The 18,140-nt window shown below is 36.2% G+C and overlaps 1 protein-coding gene across 9 annotated transcripts in view; it reads left to right on the top strand.

Annotated features, from left to right (window-relative positions):
- Positions 1-18,140, top strand: part of WDR41 (WD repeat domain 41) — a 189,645-nt gene that overhangs the window by 144,700 nt on the left and 26,805 nt on the right. For all 9 annotated transcript variants that reach the window (XM_011543505.3, XM_047417350.1, XM_047417349.1 and 6 more), the window contains 3 exons: positions 11,069-11,117; positions 12,652-12,783; positions 16,754-16,816. In XM_011543505.3, coding sequence (XP_011541807.1) covers positions 11,069-11,117; positions 12,652-12,783; positions 16,754-16,816 — 244 coding nt within the window. The remainder of the gene's footprint in view (positions 1-11,068; positions 11,118-12,651; positions 12,784-16,753; positions 16,817-18,140) is intronic.

The following is an 18,140-nucleotide window of genomic DNA, read 5'->3' as shown; positions in this document are numbered from 1 at the left end:
AGCTCATAGTAATTTCATCGTCTGAAGCCTTCTTCTCTCAGCTTGTCAAAGTCATTCTCCATCCAGCTTTGTTCCGTTGCTGGTGAGGAACTGCGTTCCTTTGGAGGAGGAGAGGCGCTCTGCTTTTTAGAGTTTCCAGTTTTTCTGCTCTGTTTTTTCCCCATCTTTGTGGTTTTGTCTAGTTTTGGTCTTTGATGATGGTGATGTACAGATGGGTTTTTGGTGTGGATGTCCTTTGTGTTTGTTAGTTTTCCTTCTAACAGACAGGACCCTCAGCTGCAGGTCTGTTGGAGTACCCGGCCGTGTGAGGTGTCAGTCTCTCCCTTCTGGGGGGTGCCTCCCAGTTAGGCTGCTCGGGGGTCAGGGGTCAGGGACCCACTTGAGGAGGCAGTCTGCCCGTTGTCAGATCTCCAGCTGCGTGCTGGGAGAACCACTGCTCTCTTCAAAGCTATCAGACAGGGACATTTAAGTCTGCAGAGGTTACTGCTGTCTTTTTGTTTGTCTGTGCCCTGCCCCCAGAGGTGGAGCCTACAGAGGCAGGCAGGCAGGCCTCCTTGAGCTGTGGTGGGCTCCACCCAGTTGGAGCTTTCTGGCTGCTGTGTTTACCTAAGCAAGTCTGGGCAATGGCGGGCGCCCCTCCCCCAGCCTGGCTGCTGCCTTGCAGTTTGATCTCAGACTGCTGTGCTAGCAATTAGCGAGACTCTGTGGGCGTAGGACCCTCCAAGTGAGGTGCAGGATATAATCTCCTGGTGCGCCGTTTTTTAAGCCCGTCGGAAAAGCGCAGTATTAGGGTGGGAGTGACCCGATTTTCCAGGTGCCGTCTGTCACCCCTTTCTTTGACTAGGAAAGGGAACTCCCTGACCCCTTGAGCTTCCCGAGTGAGGCAATGCGTCGCCCTGCTTCGGCTCGCGCACGGTGCACGCACCCACTGACCTGCGCCCACTGTCTGGCACTCCCTAGTGAGACGAACCCGGTACCTCAGATGGAAATGCAGAAATCACCCGTCTTCTGCGTCGCTCACGCTGGGAGCTGTAGACCGGAGCTGTTCCTATTGGGCCATCTTGGCTCCTCCTCCTACTGTAATCTTGATGTGTAGTTTAGCTTTCTATCTGTGATTTGGGAAGGGAAGAACTTACCAAATGTTTTACCTTTGCAAATAACCATGGGAACTATGCAATCTTTGTTTGTGAGCTAAAAAAGGACCTTAGACTTTTAGATGTTAGAGTCATGTTAATATAATACATTCTTTTTTAAGGAAAAGAAATTGTTGAAGTAGATCTAATTAAGGAATTGGTTGCGTCAGCATCTATGGCTCCTGAAAATGCTTTGACGTTTCCTTCAACTCCTTTACAAGTCCCTATCTGGATGCTTCTCTAATTTTCTTCAAGTAGTTCTAGCATACAAACATATACTTTAAATGAAAATTGTGATTTTTTTTGTTGTTATACTTTAAGTTTTAGGGTACATGTGCACAATGTGCAGGTTAGTTACATATGTGTACATGTGCCATGTTGGTGTGCTGCACCCAGTAACTCATCATTTTAACATTAGTTATATCTCCAAATGCTATCCCTCCCCACTCCCCCCACCCCACAACAGGCCCTGGTGTGTGATGTTCTCCTTCCTGGGTCCATGTGTTCTCATTGTTCAGTTCCCACCTATGAGTGAGAACATGCGGTGTTTGGTTTTTTGTCCTTGCCATAGTTTGCTGAGAATGATGGTTTCCAGCTTCATCCATGTCCCTACAAAGGACATGAACTCATCATGTTTTATGGCTGCATAGTATTCCATGGTGTATATGTGCCACATTTTCTTAATCCAGTCTATCATTGTTGGACATTTGGGTTGGTTCCAAGTCTTTGCTATTGTGAACAGTGCCGCAATAAACACACGTGTGCATGTGTCTTTATAGCAGCATGATTTATAATCCTTTGGGTATATACCCAGTAATGGGATTGCTGGGTCAAATGGTATTTCTAGTTCTAGATCCCTGAGGAATCGCCACACTGACTTCCACAATGGTTGAAGTCCCACCAACAGTGTAAAAGTGTTCCTGTTTCTCCACATCCTCTCCAGCATCTGTTGTTTCCTGACTTTTTAATGATCGCCATTCTAACTGGTGTGAGATGGTATATCATTGTGGTTTTGATTTGCATTTCTCTGATGGCCAGTGATGATGCGCATTTTCTCATGTGTCTTTTGGCTGCATAAATATCTTCTTTTGAGAAGTGTCTGTTCATATCCTTTACCCACTTGTTGATAGGGTTGTTTATTTTTTTCTTGTAAATTTGTTGGTGTTCATTGTAGATTCTGGATATTAGCCCTTTGTCAGATGAGTAGATTACAAAAATTTTCTCCCATTCTGTAGGTTGCCTGTTCACTCTGATGGTAGTTTCTTTTGCTTTGCAGAAGCTCTTTAGTTTAATTAGATCCCATTTGTCAATTTTGGCTTTTGTAGCCATTGCTTTTGGTGTTTTAGACATGAAGTCCTTGCTCATGCCTATGTCCTGAATGGTATTGCCTAGGTTTTCTTCTAGGGTTTTTATGGTTTTAGGTCTAACATTTAAGTGTTTAACCCATCTTGAATTAATTTTTGTAGAAGGTGTAAGGAAGGGATCCAGTTTCAGCTTTCTGCATATGACTAGCCAGTTTTCCCAGCACCATTTATTAAATAGGGAATCCTTTCCCCATTTCTTGTTTTTGTCAGGTTTGTCAAAGATCAGATGGTTGTAGATATGCGGCGTTATTTCTGAGGGCTCTGTTCTATTCCATTGGTCTATATCTCTGTTTTTGGTACCAGTATCATGCTGTTTTGGTACCAGTATCATGCTGTTTTGGTTACTGTAGCCTTGTAGTATAATTTGAAGTCAGGTAGCCTGATACCTCCAGCTTGGTTCTTTTGGCTTAGGACTGACTTGGCAATGCGGGCTGTTTTTTGGTTCCATATGAACGTGAAAGTAGTTTTTTCCAATTCTGTGAAGAAAGTCATTGGTAGCTTGATGGGGATGGCATTGAATCTATAAATTACCTTGGGCAGTATGGCCATTTTCACGATATTGATTCTTCCTACCCATGAGCATGGAATGTTCTTCCATTTGTTTGTATCCTCTTTTATTTCATTGAGCAGTGGTTTGTAGTTCTCCTTGAAGAGGTCCTTCCCATCCCTTGTAAGTTGGATTCCTAGGTATTTTATTCTCTTTGAAGCAATTGTGAATGGGAGTTCACTCATGATTTGGCTCTCTGTCTGTTATTGGTGTAAAAGAATGCTTGTGATTTTTGCACATTGATTTTGTATCCTGAGACTTTGCTGAAGTTGCCTATCAGCTTAAGGAGGTTTTGGGCTGAGACAATGGGGTTTTCTAGATATACAATCATGTCATCTGCAAACAGGGACAATTTGACTTCCTCTTTTCCTAATTGAATACCCTTTATTTCCTTCCCCTGCCTAATTGCCCTGGCCAGAACTTCCAACACTATGTTGAATAGGAGTGGTGAGAGAGGGCATCCCTGTCTTGTGCCAGTTTTCAAAGGGAATGCTTCCAGTTTTTGCCCATTCAGTATGATATTGGCTGTGGGTTTGTCACAGATAGCTCTTATTAGTTTGAGATATGTCCCATCCATACCTAATTTATTGAGAGTTTTTAGCATGAAGAGTTGTTGAATTTTGTCAAAGGCCTTTTCTGCATCTGTTGAGATAATCATATGGTTTTTGTCTTTGGTTCTGTTTATATGCTGAATTATGTTTATTGATTTGCGTATATTGAACCAGCCTTGCATCCCAGTGATGAAGCCCACTTGATCATGGTGGATAAGCTTTTTGATGTGCTGCTGGATTCGGTTTGCCAGTATTTTACTGAGGATTTCTGCATCAATGTTCATCAGGGTTATTGGTCTAAAATTCTCTTTTTTGGTTATGTCTCTGCCCGGCTTTGGTATCAGGATGATGCTGGCCTCATGAGTTAAGGAGGATTCCCTCTTTTTCTGTTGATTGGAGTAGTTTCAGAAGGAATGGTACCAGCTTCTCCTTGTACCTCTGGTAGAATTCGGCTGTGAATCCATCTGGTCCTGGATTTTTTTTTGGTTGGTAAGCTATTAATTATTGCGTCAATTTCAGATCCTGTTATTGGTCTATTCAGAGATTCAGCTTCTTCCTGGTTTAGTCTTGGGAGGGTGTATGTGTCAAGGAACTTATCCATTTCTTCTAGATTTTCTAGTTTATTTGCATAGAGGTGTTTTTAGTATTCTCTGATGGTAGTTTGTATTTCTGTGGGATTGGTGGTGATATCCCCTTTATCATTTTTTATTGCGTCTATTTGATTCTTCTCTCTTTTCTTCTTTATTAGTCTTACTAGCGTTCTATCAATTTTGTTGATCTTTTCAAAAAACCGGTTCCGGGATTCATTAATTTTTTGAAGGGTTTTTTGTGTCTCTATTTCCTTCAGTTCTGCTCTGATCTTAGTTATTTCTTGCCTTCTGCTGGCTTTCGAATGTGTTTGCTCTTGCTTTTCTAGTTCTTTTAATTGTGATGTTAGGGTGTCAATTTTAGATCTTTCCTGCTTTCTCTTGTGGGCATTTAGTGCTATAAATTTCCCTCTACACACTGCTTTGAATGTGTCCTAGAGATTCTGGTATGTTGTGTCTTTGTTCTTGTTGGTTTCAAAGAACATCTTTATTTCTGCCTTCACTTTGTTATGTACCCAGTAGTCATTCAGGAGCAGGTTGTTCAGTTTCCATGTAGTTGAACGGTTTTGAGTGAGTTTCTTAATCCTGAGTTCTAGTTTGATTGCACTGTGGTCTGAGAGACATTTTGTTATAATTTCTGTTCTTTTACATTTGCTGAGGAGTGCTTTACTTCCAACTATGTGGTCAATATTGAAATAAGTGTGGTGTGATGCTGAGAAGAATGTATATTCTGTTGATTTGGGGTGGAGAGTTCTGTAGATGTCTATTAGGTCTGCTTGGTGCAGAGCTAAGTTCAATTCCTGGATATCCTTGTTAACTTTGTCTTGTTGATCTGTCTAATGTTGACAGTAGGGTGTTAAAGTCTCCCATTATTATTGTGTGGGAGTCTAAGTCTCTTTCTAGGTCTCTAAGGACTTGCTTTATTCATCTGGGTGCTCCTGTATTGGGTGCATATATATTTAGGATAGTTAGCTCTTCTTGTGAATTGATCCCTTTACCATGATGTAATGGCCTTCTTTGTCTCTTTTGATCTTTGTTGGTTTAAAGTCTGTTTTATCAGAGAGTAGGATTGCAACCCCTGCCTTTTTTTGTTTTCCATTTGCTTGGTAGATCTTCCTCTATCCCTTTATTTTGAGCCTATGTGTGTCTCCGTGCATGAGATGGGTTTCCTGAATACAGCACACTGATGGGTCTTGACTCTTTATCCAATTTGCCAGTCTGTGTCTTTTAATTGGAGCATTTAGCCCATTTACATTTAAGGTTAATATTGTTATGTGTGAATTTGATCCTGTCATTATGATGTTAGCTGGTTATTTTGCTTGTTAGTTGATGCAGTTTCTTCCTAGCCTCGATGGTCTTTACAATTTGGCATGTTTTTGCAGTGGCTGGTATCGGTTGTTCCTTTCCATGTTTAGTGCTTCCTTCAGGAGCTCTTTTAAGACAGGCCTGGTGGTGACAAAATCTCTCAGCATTTGCTTGTCTGTAAAGTATTTTATTTCTCCTTCACTTATGAAGCTTAGTTTGGCTGGATATGAAATTCTGGGTTGAAAATTCTTTTCTTTAAGAATGTTGAATATTGGCCCCCATTATCTTCTGGCTTGTAGAGTTTCTGCCAAGAGATCTGCTGTTAGTCTGATGGGCTTCCCTTCGTGGGTAACCCGACCTTTCTCTCTGGCTGCCCTTAACATTTTTTCCTTCATTTCAACTTTGGTGAATCTGACAATTATGTGTCTTGGAGTTGCTCTTCTCGAGGAGTATCTTTGTGGCGTTCTCTGTATTTCCTGAATCTGAATGTTGGCCTGCCTTGCTAGATTGGAGAAGTTCTCCTGTATAATATCCTGCAGAGTGTTTTCCAACTTGGTTCCATTCTCCCTGTCACTTTCAGTTACACCAATCAGACGTAGATTTGGTCTTTTCACATAGTCCCATATTTCTTGGAGGCTTTGTTTCTTTTTATCCTTTTTTTCTCTAAATTTCTCTTCTCACTTCATTTCATTCATTTGATCTTCCATCACTGATACCCTTAGCATTTTTTCAATGTTATTTTATTGTAAATGTAATAATGACTTCAGGCAGTGATTATTGATGGGTGTTAACATCACACACACGCAAAAATGACTGCCAGAAATTTGTTTCCTAATGGAGTATACAAACTGCTTATGAAATGGTCTTACCAAAGAGTCAGATTTGAATTGGATTAAGTCTGTAGATTTAAGGATCAGTTTTCTAAAAATACAGAATACAGAGGTGCATGTTAGATGACAACAGAGGAAAGTAGTCAGCAAAATCTGGGCTGTGAGAATTATACAGGAGAGACAACTAGGGTACATGTGCACAACATGCAGGTTTGTTACATATGTATACATGTGCCGTGTTGGTGTGCTGCACCGATTAACTCATCATTTACATTAGGTATGTCTCCTAATGCTATCCCTCCCCCCTACCCCCACCCCACGACAGGCCCTGGTGTGTGATGTTCCCCTTCCTGTGTCCAAGTGTTCTCATTCTTCAGTTCCCACCTATGAGTGAGAACATGTGGTGTTTGGTTTTTTGTCCTTGGCGATAGTTTGCTGAGAATGATGGTTTCCAGTTTCATCCATGTCCCTACAAAGGACGTGAACTCATCCCTTTTTATGGCTGCATAGTATTCCATGGTGTATATGTGCCACATTTTCTTAATCCAGTCTATCATTGATAGACATTTGGGTTGAAGAGAGACAACTTTTTTCAACAAAAAGATTGCAAGGAAGAAAAAGATGGAGAACAAAACCATAGAAAAAAGAGACTTTAGAGATATATCAAGCAGTTGTGCTATATAGACCTTATTTAGATCCTGCGTCTTACTGTACAAAAAAAATGATGAGATGATCATGGAAACTGTATAGTATTTTAGTTTTATCATGCATTAGAAAGTACTTGCAGGTTAGGTGGAAAGTTAACCACTGGGGTGCCTGTACTGCCATAATAATGTCGTATTAAGATTTTTATTTTTTCAGTGCCTTATGTAGACATTGAATACAGGAAGATTTATGGTTCAGGTTTATGGACTATACTTTTTATGTCCTTTAAGGTAACATTTGAATTTTTGGGACCTTCACTTAGTTGAAAGGCCTTCACATGAGTAAGAACTATTAAATGAGCATTTAGCTATTGGACATAAGAATTATTGTGAAAACAATTTATTTTTTACAAATCTTTATTAAGCTTTGCTGTAGTTTTCAGCCCACTGTTGGAAGGAACGAGAGAATACTTTCTCAGAGATGTTCAAAGAGAAGATGTTTAGAGGGAATTATTTTTATACATTAAGATGGTTGTAAGTGAGAATTCTCTAAGGACTCATGATCTAGACCCTATAGCATCACATGGTAATGTTGGACTGTGAGTTCTTGAATGGCAAGAACAATCTCTTGATCTTTATTCTTAGGTTTAAGCATCTATATAGTTAGTGCTTAGTAAGTATTGAATTACCGAGTGACTTATGGACTATCATAATAAATTTAGTTCTCATAATTAGGGGATGAGAGGATGAAACATTCTAGGAGGTCTGCCATAGGTCTTTGTTAAACCATGTTTCACCTTGTTGAACTTGTTTTTCATGAATGTAAGTTTTGCTTAGTCATTTAATTGTGTAGTCTCAAGGAGTATTTTTAACAACTTGGGTTTTTTTTGTTTTTTGTGTTTTTTTTGAGATGGAGTCTTGCTCTGTTGTCCAGGCTGGAGAGTGGTGTGATCTTGGACTTGGTTTTAAGTTAAAGAAAAAACCTGAAGTATATGGATAAGAATTGGACAGGAATATGAAAAAATATAGAAATTTATTTTTGTGTGGTAGGGATTCTGGGTTTTAAATTTTTAAGTTTCTATTTTTTGTGGTAGTATATTTACATTAATTATGATAAAAGGAAAATATGGGGTTACATTGCCATCATTAATCAATCTATTTCACAGAGCCCTTGAACACTTAAATGTTTGCTTATGCATTCACTTATTCATTCAACAAGCATTTCTTTAGCACTTAAAACCTGCCAGAGATAATCAGAGATTCATTAGACTGGCAAGTGCCATGTTATAAAGATAAAGATCAATAAATATGGTAATTCTTAGAGTTCATGATTCTAAGAAGCATATTTTTTTCTATTTTGACATCTCTAAAATTTGGACACATCATATAATTGTGTGTTTCAATTGTAATTGGCAGTATGTTTTCCTTAATGGTAAATAAAATAAGAGTGTCTTACAATTGATGTCTTAGATTTGATGAAATACGGTACATTTCTAAACAATCATAAAGTTTTAAGATCTCAAAGCAAGAACCACATGTAAGGTGTCTTCACATTTCCCTAACTCCTAGCACGGAATCACACTGAATACATTTTTTGCTAATCGGTAAAGAAACATTTCTCTCAAAATCTTATCTTTAGGCTTAAGTTTTTGCTTTCTGTTACTTTAGAATGTTTTTAAAAATTAGTATGTAAAATGTTATCTGGCAATATTACTATTCTTCCATTGGATAGAATAGCTTAAACTTTATTGACATTTTAATCCTTTTTTTATTTTATAGTTCATTACTTCTTTTCAGCAGTTACACTATACCTTACAATTAGGAATTCTTGGGTTGTATTTCCATTTCTGATTTGGAGATGGTTGAAGTGTATGCTTGACTGACTAGGATTTAGTTTAAGATAAACTGATAAAGTATAGCTAGTTTTTTGTTATCCATCATAATAGGATGGGTAATTGTAATTTGTGAATGATATCTCAACCCTTTATTAGTTTTTTTATGACAGGTACTAATATGTGTCAAAGTTATACTGGTTTGTATTTTAAAGCTTAATGTTTCCTCTTTAGGGGAGGTAGTAATAAATACTGAAATGGCAAAAAAAAAAAAAAAATGGTAGCAATAGAATATATATAAGAATAGAAGGCCTGAATAATCTACCAACCAGGTAATTGACCTTGCAGCAATAAAAAATTGACTGTGATTTCATGCATTACTATTGAGCCTTATTTAGATTTAACTTTTGTTCCCTACTGATTGAATTAAAGTTTGAGGTTAAATGCTCTATATCCCATTTCTAAACTCTCAGCTGTTCTCAGTCATCTCTCATTGTGAACTCATGAAAGTCAAACATGATAAAACAATCATAAGAAGTTAAAAATTAGGGTTAGAAAAAAAGTATGTATTTTAAACTTGCTGTCTTCTAAATGCAATTTTAAGTTTAAAGAATCAATAGAAATTGATGTTTTATACCAAAGAACACTTAAGACCTTGAGTCCTGCCCTCCCCACCATCACTATACAAATAAAAAGAAATCAATAGGCCCAGAAACATAAGCTGCTAAAGATTTATTTCCAGCAACTATTTTTGATATTCAAGGTACTATTTACTAATCTGATTGAGAAAATGTAGATAATTAAGCATAGGAAATCTATTTTTATTTTAAAAATGATCATTTTCTTTTTAATCTCCGGATCTTTTATATGTTACATTTTAAAATAAGAATAAATGATAGGCATGGATTTAAAAATAACTCTTTGTGATTTTTAGCTAGTTACCTAAATTTAACAGGTCCATTCTGTTAAAAAGATAGGTAGTTCTGTATTTAAAAATTATTAAAAGACTGTCAGACTGTATTTGATCAATTTCATGTCTCCTGAATAATCTTGGTTCTACCAGTAGTAGATGTACTCAAAGGATTTTGAAATAAGAACTGAGTATTGGAATTGTCTGAGCCAGTGAAGGCACTGAACTTTGAAACTGAAGATAAGAAATTTGAACATGAAACTCAGTTTGGAGTGTTAAGGAAAGTATTTCATGACTGAAATAGTGGGATTTTGTTATCTCATAAAGGGGTAAAAAATCCATTAGAACAGATGCTCACATAGCATCTGTTAATTATAAGGGGCCAGTTATATGTCATTCATAGCTGGCTCTCTTTAACACCACTTCTTTCTCTCATACTGAAAAAAAAAAAAAGCCTGAATTTGAGTGAAAGCAATATTATGGGGACAACTTTAAATTGATTCTGAGTCATTAAAAATTATTTACAAACTTGTGGATGACATTAACAGTAAATTATTTGACATGCTTATGATGTGATTATTTATACTACTTTGTTGCGTTAGTATAATAAGATGGTGAATTTTAGTATAATATGGTGATGAATAATCCTGTATGACAGGTTATTCCTTTTGATAGTGTTTATGTTCAGAATATCTTCTACTCTACAGAATTTGGTGATTGTCCCTGTGATATGGTGAATGGGATATAAAAAGGAGAGAGAAGCTATAGCAGACTATCACAGCTCATTTTTCATGCCATAAGACAAGCTTTACCTGTGCATTTCAAGCATCTTCACTAAAAAGCAACAAAAAAACCCTAAAAAATCCTCAAATCTTCCAAACCAAGAACAAAGCATTTATGTGGAAAGACTAAGGAGTTGAGCTGAGCAAAAGAGAGATCTTGACTTTAAATAATAATTATTTACAGAGAGAATAATAGAAGTAATGAATTTATTTAACATCGTAATCACTTCCTAGAATATCACTTCCTGTCACTGAAGGCACTTGTCAGCTTGGTTTCATTTCACTTAAGTCAGGGATTTCTTAAAATCATAGAATTTTAAAGCAAAGAAGGACTTTAAAGATTATTTTTACATTTCTAGCAGTTTATTCTTTGTAAACTTATAAATGTCTTATTTATCTTTTGATCTTCCATACCTGGTACAGAAGCTGGAATGTGTTTCATAAATATTTTTTAAATTAGCTGAAATAACTTGATCTTCGTTAATATTAGTCAAAATACCACTAATAAGGTTTGATAGTTCTTAATCTTAGTAATTAAATGTCACCAGTGATTTTTTTTTCTTGACCCTTTCTCCCTAACCAGATTTGCATCTGCTGGTGATGATGGAATTGTAGTTGTGTGGAATGCCCAGGTGTGTATTGATTATGTGTGGATTGTGTGATAAAGATATGATGATGTAGTTGAGTATGTATTCATATAAATACTATCTGGGGATACATTTACATATCACTGTTAATTGACACATTAATATTTGAAAAGAGCTAATTAGGATAAATCCATATACAGTGGGGACCAGTATTTCATAATGAAGAGGGAAAGTTTTTTTAAATTGAGATTTTTTTTCCAGCTGGGTGTGGTGGCTCGTGCCTGTAATCCCAGGACTTTGGGAGGCCAAGGCGAACGGATAACTTGGGGCCAGGAGTTTGAGAACAGCTTGGCCAACATAGCAAGACCCCGTCTCTACTAAAAATACTAGAAATCAGCTGGGCATAGTGGCACATGCCTGTAATCCCAGTTACTCGGGAGACTGAGGTTGCAGTGAGCCGAGAACATGCCACTGCACTCCAGCCTGGGTGACACAGCAAGACTGTCTCAAAAAAAAAAAAAAAAAAAAAAAGTTTTTTCCTAAGAAACAAATGCCAAAGTATGAAAATTCAAAAAATACAAAATTTTAATCTTATTTAACAAAATTTAGGTTATCACTAGCTATGCCCTGACTTCCAAAATGAATAAATGAATTGTGTTGATTTTTGTGAGACACACAAGTTTTCTTTCAACATTGCGTAATAGCATAATGTAACATTTTTCTCATGTTTGACTTAATATTACAAAAGCCTTTTTTTTTTAAATAAATACTTAAGGCTTCACCAGTTTCTTCAGAGCCTCCCTTCCTGATCATTTGTTACTCAAATTATTCTTTTTTGAAGTATCTTCCTCTCACCTTAATTTTGGATTGTTATCTAGTCTGACTGTGTCAGATCTTTATTTTTCAATGGCTTTGCCTGTGATAAAATCAGTTCTTTAACATTATTTTCACCACATTCACGAAGTCCTGCAATCTTGGAAAGATTTGCCATTTACATTGTATTTTTGCATGTTTACTACTTGGTAAATTAGTCAGAGACTGATGGATGAAGACACTGGATGGGTAGGAATAGATGTTGGTGTTAAATAACGATGGAGTGGAGACTGACTTTCTAAGTGGTTAATAAATGAGTGGATATATATACTTATTTGTGTGTAGGTACATATACAGTTGTTATGGTGACTTTTATTTTCTTCTATGACCTTATAACTGTGGAGACTTAAATAACAAATACTTGGACAATGAGGACTCCATATTTTTTTCCTGCAAACTAAGTTACTGATGTTTTTATGCTTAATTTACACAATTATATTTTTAAATTTATAGAAAAAAATACTCAAAATTTTCTATAAAAATATACTAAAAATTAGCATTTTGTTTTAGAAAATAAAACTATAGTTATGGCTGTACTTTCAGTGCTTGTTTAGATTCTGTGTGATTGCTTAAGTTAAATTCTGAATAAGTAATTTTAAATGGAATGTATATGTATCTTCTATATGGTAGTTGTACTTAATGTAGTCATTTATGATTATCTAAATTGTGAAAGCTAAGCCTATTAACATTTTTATTGGTATTTCAGACAGGGGAAAAACTTTTAGAACTGAATGGACACACTCAAAAGATAACAGCTATTATTACATTTCCTTCCTTGGAATCTTGTGAAGAGAAAAATCAACTCATCTTGACAGCCTCTGCTGATAGAACAGTTATTGTATCCTTTAATCTGGAAGAAATGAACAAGCTGTAGTGGCCTAAGGAGCCACTACATACACTATTAGTCTTTAGCTGATAGGGTCTTGTCTGTATATTCTTGTTATAGCAAAAATGATTTTTGTTCTGTTACTTATAAGATACCATTTATTAGGTATCTGAAAAGTATTAGACTGGAAATAGGAGGTTAAGGCTTGTTATTGATGGAAACTCCGTGACTATTGCTGTTCTTTCCAGAGTTACTCTATCAGGTTGTATAAAATTGATGAAATGGGAAAATGTGGACTTAAAAATAATTTATTTTACTATCTCAGTTTGCTTTTCAATTTAGGGAAACAACGATGAGTTGGACTGGAGAATAATTTACATTTTTTTTCCCCACTATACAGCAGAAGAAACCAAATGGTCCCAACCCATAAAAATCTTTGGAGCATCTGAGTCTGATAGAAAAGTGAATTACTGTTTGTTCAGTGTGTAATATTTAATAATTAAAAACAATTTTATAAAAGTAAAATTACTTTTTCTTTACCCATACTTTTAGGTAAAAAGTTAAGATGGGATAGCAGTAGTAAAGTGCTTATGTGTAACAGGCATTGTTCTAATTGTTTTACATATATTAACTCATTTAATCTTTAAAATTAGCCCTTTGACATAGGTATTTTTAATTCTTTTTTTTTTTTTTTTTTGAGACGGAGTTTCACTCTTATTGCCCAGGCTGGAGTGCAATGGCGTGATCTTTACTCACTGCAACCTCTGCCTCCTGGGTTCAAGCGATTCTCCTGCTTCAGACTCCCGAGTAGCTGGGATTACAGGCCTGTGCCACCACGCCCAGCTAATTTTGTATTTTTAGTAGAGATGGGGTTTCACTCTGTTGGTCAGGCTGGTCTCGAACTCCTGACCTTAGGTGATCCACCCACCCTGGCCTCCCACAATGCTGGGATTATAGGCATGAGCCACTGCGCCCGGCCTTATTTTTAATTATTCTTATTTACAGATGAAAAAAATAGAGTCACACAGAGGCTAAGTAACTTTCCCAAGGCACACAGCCAGTGTAGGGCAGAACTGGCAAGTCTGACTGCAGAGTCAGAGCCCCGAACCACTGCACTTCATAAAATGTTTTCTGTAAACAAACTCAGCCCTTTAATATCTGTATGAGGAATTGGCTTGGTGAAGTCCAGAGTCAAGTGCTATGGATAACTGTTGTCTTTCATTACTTTTATTTTTTTAAAAGAGGTTGTCAGATTAATTTTTTTTTTTTTTTAGACAGAATCTCACTGTTGCCCAAGCTGGAGTGCAGTAGCACAATCTCGGCTCACTGCAGCCTCCACCTCCCAGGTTCAAGTGATTCTTCTGCCTCAGCCACCCAAGTAGCTGGGACTACAGGCGCCTGCCACCACGTCCGGCTAATTTTTTTGTATTTTTAGTAGAGACGGGGTTTCACCATATTGGCCAGGCTGGCCTCGAACTCCTGACTTCGTGATCTGCCCGCCTTGGCATCCCAAAGTGCTGGGATTACTGGCATGAGCCACTGTTTCCGGTCATATTAATTTTTAAAAGTATATGCTTATCTGAAAGTTCTGTGTAAACACTTTCAAGCATTGGTGAAGTTTTGGAGTAAGCCCAAAAGTATAGGTGTTTCTTAGGCTCTTACAGAACCAAGATACAGACTTGAACATGCTTTAAATGAGTTCATCAACTGAAGTGCTTTCTAGACAGATTGTTCATAGCTGAAAAAATGTCAAGAAAAGGTTTAAATGGGGATAAACTCTCTATACATACATACATATATACATACACACATATATGTATGTTTGTGTGTGATTATGATACAATGTAAACAAGGGCATAAAATTCTCTCAGATGGTTAGGTCAGAGTTGCTTTATTACTACTCTGTAGAGGCAAATATGGGATAAAGCTCTCTTTTTCAGTATCAGTGTAATCTTTGCAAAAATAGAATTTAAAATACTCTATTAGACCACTCCTAAGACACTATAGCAATATTTTGAGGCAGTGATTAAAATTACATACAGAAGTTAGTAGCTGGTACAGTGTCACTATGAATTTTACCTGTAAATGATAGTATGGACTCATTTCCTTTGCTGAGTGATTTTTGTTGTTAGAAAAAAATTCTAGGCCGCTTATTTGGCAGTCTCTCTTACCCAAATGAATTCTAAATTTACTCTGCTTGGGTTTTTACTACAGGTTGAGCATCCCTAATCTGAAAATCCAAAATCTGAAATGCTCCAAAATCCAAGACCTTTTAAGCACTGACGTGATGCCACAAGTGGAAAATCTTATACCTGACATCATGTGACAGGTTGCAGTCAAAATTTTGTTTAACGCACAAAATTACCAAAAATATTGTATAAAACTACCTTCAGGCTATATGTATAAGGTGTATATGAAAAATAAATGAATTTTGTGTTTAGACTTGGGTTCAGTCCCCAAGATAGCTCATTAGGTATATGCACATATTCCAAAATCCAAAAAAAATCAGAAACACTTCTGGTCTTAAGCATTTTGGATAAGGGATACCCAACCTGTAAAAACTAACTTCCTTAATTAAATACTGAAGGTAGATAATTTTTTAAAGCGATAGCCTTAGGAGCTCAGGTTACTGAATATTAAATGTTCTGCTTGTGAATAGTGAAATAAGTGAAAAGGCTGTGAGATACTACTAGAATTCTGGTAAATATAAGGCCAGAAAACATTTCCTAATTACTGGGAGCATTTTTTGTATGCTAGCAGTTTTAGTGTGTTATATACATAAAATGTAATTCTCATGATAATCTAGCTCCATCTAAAGCATGACATAGAATATAGATGGTCCCCAACCTAGGGTGGTTTGACTTACAGTTTTTCAACTTTATGATGGTGTGAAAGGGAGGTGCATTAAGTAGAAACTGTACTTTGAATTTTGAAGTCTGATATTTTCTCACACTAGTGATGCATGGGATGATAGTCTTTCCCAGTGCTGGGCAGCAGCAGCCTGGAGCTGCAGCTCCTTCCTAGTCAGCTATAAGATCACAAGGGTAAACAGCCTTACTCTACAGTGTACTGTGTTGCCAGATGACTTTTTTTTTTGCCCAACTATAGGCTTATGTAAGTGTTCTGAGCACATATAAGTTAGGCCAGGCTAAGCTATGATGTTTGATAGATGTGTTAAATGCATTTTGACTTAGGATATTTTCCACTTAGAATGGGTTTATTGTGGGACATAACTACTTTAAGTCAAGGCACATCTGTATAATAAAAATATAACAAAAGGCATTGGCCATGATAAGGTTAACTAGTTTGTGAAATTAGTTTCAATTTTTAATACATGCATATACATTTGTATACGTAGTACATACATGTATGTAAATGTGTTTTCAGACATGGTGTAAAATGTATTTCTTACTATAGGAAATGGTGTAAAAGTTTGAAAATCACTGTGCTTAAGTCAAACTGAACTTGGATGTTTTATGAGAGGCCCTCTGATTATATTAAATGCACATACAGGTAATAGTAATACACTGTTAGTGTCTTCTCGAATCAAGATAACAGTAGTAAATCATGCTATCCATATTATAGGGAGCTTTCAGTAAATATTAATGGACATGATAGTTTTTGGTATAAGTACTTTATGCTTATTAGATTATGGTGGGCTATTCTGGAGAATAAACTTTAAACAGTTGGAATATTTAGTGCTTGTAAAGATTCAGTACTTCAGACCATTCATTATGTTGGCATTTTCAAATAATTTGATAGTAAAATTTACCTCAAACTTATTTTAGATTATAAGCCTGCTTTGCTAAGTTGATGACTCACTATATGAATTCATTTTTGTGGTGGTATAAACACTAAATATTTTATGTTTGATTTAAAGATTTTCTAACTGCTTAACATTTGTGGCTTAATTGTTAATTAGAAAAGTTATAATTAAGATTTTAAAATTCTGTTTAGAAATTATTTCTTAACATAAATTTAGGTGTGGGATGGTGATACTACCAGACAAGTTCAGAGAATATCATGCTTCCAGTCTACTGTAAAGGTAAAATCTTAAGTAAATATGAGTTTTTATGACAATCTATTTTTGTCTCAGAAGACATGGTTTAAAGAGTTAGACGAAATTACTTTTGTGGGTCTTATGAATTATTTCTTTCCACACACTTGTAGTCATTTGCTTCGTGTAAGATCAGATTTTTGAGAGCACATGTATTAAGTGTTAGAATGTTTCAATTTGAAATTAGAGCAAGGGATAATCCCAATAGCAAGATAAGGAAAAAAGGTAGTACCTGGTATGTTTTTTGTAGGTAGTTCCAGGAAGAGATATTACTTGTAGAATGACCATAATAGTAGCTGGTCTGTTTTCTTTATACTTTGAATTTAAAATATAGAGCTATTTGTCCCATGACCTTTGCCTTCTCTAAGGTCACAAAGGCAAGACATGTCAGTTACTTAGTTTCAAAACTAAAAATCTTACCTGGCTAATTTGCTGTTACTGTTAGGTTTATTCCTTTTACAAACAATTATTAATTGGGGCTAATGATATGACAGAAGCTCTGCTACGTTTTAGAGAAACAAACATAGATAAGACTTGGTTGCTTGTGATTCCTACAGAAATTAAGTGTTCAGAGAAAGTGCCACTGTTTTTTAGTAATGTAAGCAAGTTTTGGAAAAGATAGTAGTAGCAGTAGATGTTCCCTCATTTACTTTAAGGATAACTGATCTCCATATTGGAGCTCTTTTCTTTTTTTTCTTAATGTAAAAAGAATTGCTGTGTGCCAATAGGTAGAATAGTTGATCTTTTCCCAAAAAGGCAGAATCTCTGGTAGCCATCTCATGGCACTGTGCTGTTCAAAATATCAACTTAGTCAAGTTTCAGGGGAAGAAAGTGCCATGTACTATATATACTTCTATCTAACTTAACAGTGGATTTTTTAAGAAGGCATTAAAAAGTATTGATTTGATTAAAATCTCTATACTTTATGTGACCTGAAATGATGTGCCTTTTACATTCCTTTAAAAATATTCTTGCTACCTGAAAAACTAAGGTCGTTAAGTTTCCAATGAAAATATGTGGCTTGAAGGAACAAAGAGAAAAAAATTTAATGTATTTGGGGGAAATTCCTTTTGGTAAACTGTGTTATGAACTGGTTATAGGAACTGGTCACTAAAAAAGTATCTTATTCCAATATAGTGAAAGTAGTTTTAAAAGGGGTTTTACTGTAATGTGAATCAGCTAGATATTTGTGTCTGTTTTCTCCTGCTGTGATCCTGTTTCACATAAAAATTGTTAAAAAATAGCATTGCACTCATTTAGTTCAGTGGTTCAGTTGTTCTTGAATAGATAGTTTATCCAAGAAATTTATATC

Source organism: Homo sapiens, chromosome 5, assembly GCF_000001405.40.
Source record: "Homo sapiens chromosome 5, GRCh38.p14 Primary Assembly".
Taxonomy (NCBI): Eukaryota; Metazoa; Chordata; class Mammalia; order Primates; family Hominidae; genus Homo; species Homo sapiens.
Note: the sequence above shows the minus strand (reverse complement) of the source record. Positions and strands in the feature narration are given on the sequence as shown.